Below are 5,583 nucleotides of genomic sequence, written 5' to 3'. Positions count from 1 at the left end.
CCATTCCCAAGCTGTGCACCCTGGTGTGAGGCTTCACCTACCTGGAGACAGGGTGCCTTTCCTAATGTACGCCGCATGACCATACGCTTTCGTGGTGGCCTTCCAAGAGTTCCTAGTCAGGTGCACCTGCATTCAGCAGCTCCTCATTCCAGCATGCATCTGCATTGACAGGTTTCAGTTTCCCCCAAGAGATTTACATGCTTTCTGTTAGCTTTAGAAATGCATATTTCCCTTCTGCTTCTTATATTCTTAAATTTCATGAAAGGGTCAACAGATTCTAGGTCATCATCTCCATAAAACTCAGAAGCCTAAATTTATATCTTTAAAAACCTTACTTCATGTGACTTTTGCCTTGAAAATAACCTTTTCAACAATTTCCTGAAGACATTTAAGGGAATTGAAAGAGAACTGGGATGTCTCAAATGAGGATTGGTTGGGAATCCTGGAATTAGAGGTAAAGTGGGGGAAGATGAAAGGACACCAACTGTCTAGATGACAGGACTCAGAAACTGCAACTCCATCCCCATCCAATCAATTATTCTCTCTAACATCAAGTTTCATTGTCTATGAACTGGGAGTAGTAATGCATATTCTGTTTCCCTGGCATGGTTGTTGTGCCGTTCAAATGGGATAATATCTATGGAAGACACTCTGTACACCTTTACATGCAGGAAGAAAGAAAGCAGCAATATCTAACATGAACCAAAGAGCATTTGAAATGATATTAGCTCTCATGAGATGGGATGTTCTTTGGCTGGGAAGGTGGTAATCCCTCCCCTTGGTGACCTCAGTGAATTTCAGACAGATCTTCAAAGCAGATCAGGTCTCTGAAGCATAGAGTGGTGAAAATATTCCAAGTTCTCTGACCTCCCTAGGCTGGGGAAGGTTGGCATCAAGGACAGAAGCTTTCAATTGCATTGAACATAGCCTGGACAGGTTCCAAGTGGGTAATTACTTTATGCTTACTTACAATTTCCCCTTCAGCTTCGAAGGGATAAAGCATCCCTCACTCGCTGGACTAACGGGGCTATTCAGTGTTGCTAGGCATATGTTGAACAGCTGCCCCAGTCAGTTACCTCAGCAGACACCACATTTTAGTAATGAAGTCAGGGCTCAAATTGGGCAAGATGGTAGCACATTTCTTTGATTAGTGTGCGGGACAAATGTGGCTTCTCTTTGAACAGAAGGGAGGGCATGTAGCATGTTTTTTCCTTATTCCCTTCAGAGGCAGGTGTAAAGTGAGCAGATTCTTTGAGAGCCAGCTTTGAGAGGTGCTCTGATATGAATCTAATTGAGAAAAATATGTTAATTTTATCATGATCAATAACTATAGCAGTTACTCTTCAATTATGAAAAATACAAGCTTTTGAAAAGTGGAGTGGAAAACAAAATTTCATCGAATGAGTTGTGTCCTCTGCATGTCTTATGTTATAAAACTGACGGTGTGTATAGTCAGAAAAATAACCTTCAATAAGGCAGGGTCTGGGCAATGAGAGATTTCCTGTAACTCCAGATCAGAAATTTATTTTAAGGGGTCTCAAATATGCTGATCCATCTGCCTCTCTACCACCCCTCTTTTACCTACTGCCCAGTTAGCAGTGATTTTGGCCTAGGAACTTAACTTTTCTGAGCCTCGGGTTCTTCCATCTATAAAATAGAGATAATTTTGGTGTCTACCTCACAGGGCTCTTGTGAGGAATAAGGGAGATAATATTCCTAGCACATGAAAATATCTCAATAAATATGAATAATTATTACTATTTTTATTGTTGTGATTACTCATCTTTCAGGTCTCAACTTAAATATCACTTTTTTTTCCAACCACTTCTGCCCCTATTCTAAGACCAGGTTAAGTGAATGGCTTTATGCTTCCCCAGAACATGCTCTACTCTCTATAAAAAGAACTAACTTTTTTTAGTATGTATTAGTTTTTCTGCACTATTGTAATCGTTTTCCATGTATAAATTATTATCTTATTTCAAAATTAAGGGAACTTAGGTGCAGAAAATTTATGTAACTCATAAAGGTTGGGATTTGAATGTAATAATTTGACTGCAAAGCTCATATTCTTAAGTATAGCATTTATCATATTTGAGGGTGATTGTTTATGCAGCGGCCTTTTGTCTGCTAGATAGTAAGCTCTGGGTGGCTAGAAACCCCTTATCCTTTTCAAAACCACTGCCAATGTATGTGTTGTCTTCCTCTCTCCTACACCTATTGATGCCCACAACTTTCTAAGTTTTGTCTCCCCATTTCGCCCCTACAAATAACATCTTTCTCTGTGTTCTTGACTTTTAGTCTGATCTCTATTTTAAAGTCGGTTGAATATTGCCCTTGTGGACACCCTAAATTTGCTCTCATCCTCTGACTGTCTGTCATGCAATGTGCATCAGTCAGAGATTTTGATTGCAAGCAATAGAAACTGTCTCTGACAATTTTAAGCAGAAAGGGCATACACTAGAAGGATCTGAAGAGCTCAGAGAATCAATGAGAATATCAGACCCAGGCTTAGAAAATCAGAAGGAACCAAGGGTTCTCTTATTCCCACTGCAGCCTCCACCAGTTCCCACATCCTTGTTCTATGTGTTCAGTATTCAAAGCCCTGGAATCTGAGTGGCTTAGCTTAGGGCCCAATGCCCATTTTCTAGGATGGCAAGGTATGGGAGGAACAAGGATCTGGCTCCTGTCAGCTTCTGTGATGGAAGATGGTAATAGAAGGGAGGTACTTGGAATCACCCATGCCCAAGACCACATCACACAGGTGGAAGGGTATTTCTTCATGAGGAAAGAGGATAGATACTTGACAGCAAAAAATTGGCAATTTTCTAATGCACATTTTAATTGTTACCTCTGGATCACCCCATCAGTTTGTGTAATTTTTCCTTGTGCCAAGTCTTTTGTTCCTTTTGATCTCTACACCATCCTCCCCTATCGAGGCCTTCCTGGCTCCCTAGGCTGGGCATAGACCTTGAGAATTGGTCAAGAGAATGCCTATGGATGATAACAATGATCCCATCTTACTTAAAGCATGCTGTTCTGGCTCTCCGTGAGCACACCTCCCCTGACTTATTCCCCAATTCCCCCTGAGACATCCTTACAGCCTGCTTCTATGTTACAGACCCTTGACCATGTCAATGCATTTACCTCCCTTTCTACTCCCACTCACTCTTTCAATTTTTAAAACTTGCTGCTTTTCCTTTCTCTCACTGTCATAGCCTATGCCTGCTTTGCAGAAATGTGTTGGTATCAACCTACTGGTTAGCAGTCTTCACTTCTATTTGCTGTTTTGATTAGCTTCACTCCTCCTGGATTTGATTCTAGGCCCGGTTCAGGAGTCTTATGTGGCTTCACTCTGGCCAACCAACTGCCCTGGGATTCCTCATCCAAATCTATCTGGATCTTGCCTTGAGCCTGGATGTTGTTGTTGCTGGTTCAGTCCTTTTGGAATTTCCAGAGCTCATGCTGATGTGGTAGAAGCAGTTAATGTAATCTGACCTCTGTGACTAACTAGAACAGAGGCTCAAGATTTGTCATATTCTTAAGTCCCAGATACCTGTCTGTCCTAATAAATGGCCTACTCTATTTTTTCCTCAAGAACTACTCTTTAGGCTGAACCTCAGCTCTGGTGTAAGATTTTGACTTGTTCCCGCTGTACCAGTCCTGGTTTGGTAACACCTCTTCAGGACTGGAAACCTGTCTTGTGTTAGAGTCCTCACATTGACTTTGAGCTCCGCTGGCTGTTACACAATTCTAAGATGACACCTACTTGTCTATTGATGCCAAAAGCCAGCCATATCTTAAAATGCTGTGGGAAAAAACTGGCTGCAATTGTGAACAGCTCAGTAAGAATATAACGAAACAGGGTTGGATGATGTGCAGTGCCCAGTGAACTGCACTGAGTTAGACCACTGATACCTGTCTCCATTTTGTGTTTGCTCCTTAGCTTCTGTTCCAGGCTTCACTGCTCATCCTGGTCTCTGCCTTTTTGATTGAGTGCTCAGCATTTCTCTCATGTCCCCCAAAATCTGACTCAACACTCCCCTGGGTTTCATTTTTCCTTCTTTCTCCCACTATGCTATCCTCAGATGCACTTGAACATGCCTGTGCCTTCACTGTAAGTGTTCTTCATCAGCCTGCCTGGGAGAAACCAGCTGCATCACAGTGGAAGATTTTATATCAGGTGCCCCTCATATATCTACTCAGAACACAAAGTCATCTGACATAGACCATGTTCCAAGCAAGGACACTTCCTCTAAAGCTTCTCCACTCTCCTTCAGTTTTTGTTGTTGTTGTTGTTGTTTTTACCTTAGCAGTCCTCTTGACCTCTCAGCAAATGGTCTTGCTTTGTGCTTTTCTGAGCCTGTGGAAGTCACCTGGAAGTTTTTGGTTCACTGTCTGCTCCTTCAAAGTTTCTGCCTTCATTCTTCTCTATCTTAGAGTAGTTATCCTTCCTGAAACTTACTCCTGGACCCAATAGTTAGAGTTGGTTCCTGTCTCCTCTTTCAAGATAATGAAAGATGTTCTGCTTTTTCTGGCCATTTTGAATCTCTCTCCCTCTCTGTGGGATTCTTCCCATCTGCTTTTAAATCAGCTTGATCTATTGTCTCCAAAAGAATGGCCCTCTGTTTTCTCCTTGCCAAACTTCTTGAATATGTGGACTCCACCCACGGACTCCATATCCTGGGCTTCCTCACTACTATTTCACTTCGAATACCCTGCAATCTGGCTTCTGTTGTCACCAAATTCTAAAGTTTCTCTCTCAGAGTTCACTGTTAATTGCCAGACAGAAAGACTTATTCTCACATTTTATGTCCTTTATCCTATCAGTAACATTAGTACTGTTAAAATAGCCGATGCTATCTTTCTTGATTGAAATTATTTTCTCTTTTTTATGGCCATCTTATTTTTATTGAATGTTTGCAGTGCTATTTAGCTTTTCTTACATGTTTCTCTCTTCTTTCCAGCTAGACTTTAGTTCCTTGAGGATGGGAGCTGTATATAATAGATACGCATTGTTGTTTCAAGAGCACCTAGTATCATGCTATATACCTAACAGATGTATGATAATATTTTCTAAATGAAGAAATAATGAAGAATTTAGAGTAATTCACTCATGTAGTCATGTATTTATGAAAAAATTCTTATGTCACCTCTCTATAGATTCTGTTATATGCTGTGATGCAGCATCTCAAAAGACATGAATAGTTCCTGCTTTCAGAGAATTTATAGTCCAGTGGGTTTCTGTGCTATAGACCCTTAGTACTTGCCAGAAATATGTTACAGGAAAGGGGTCCCAATCCAGACCCCAAGAGAGGGTTCTTGGATCTCATGCAAGAAAGAATTCAGGGCAGGTCTGCCATGCAAAGTAAAAGTAAGTTTATTAAGAAAGTAAAGTGGTGAAAGAACAGCTACTCCACAGAGTAGGACGTTCCGAAAGTAAGAGGAGGAACACATCCACCCTAGGTACAATGCTTGTATATATGGGGAGTTGTGCTCTGCTATAAGGGTTTGTGATAAAGGATTAATTTTCTTAATTACTATATTTTGCAAGAATCGATATTATTATCTTTAAAGCAAAATTAG

General features: G+C 40.9%; 1 annotated feature.

Annotated features, from left to right (window-relative positions):
* Window positions 4,344-4,845: an enhancer, noted in NCBI's record as "NANOG hESC enhancer chr1:177624802-177625303 (GRCh37/hg19 assembly coordinates)". NCBI's record gives its function as "activates a minimal SCP1, AML or CMV promoter by ChIP-STARR-seq in naive H9 embryonic stem cells {active_cell/tissue: H9 hESC(naive)}" and the evidence as "EXISTENCE:reporter gene assay evidence [ECO:0000049][PMID:30033119]".

The sequence above is a fragment of the Homo sapiens genome, chromosome 1, assembly GCF_000001405.40.
Source record: "Homo sapiens chromosome 1, GRCh38.p14 Primary Assembly".
In the NCBI taxonomy this organism is placed as follows: Eukaryota; Metazoa; Chordata; class Mammalia; order Primates; family Hominidae; genus Homo; species Homo sapiens.
This window is presented reverse-complemented; position numbering and strand designations above follow the sequence as displayed.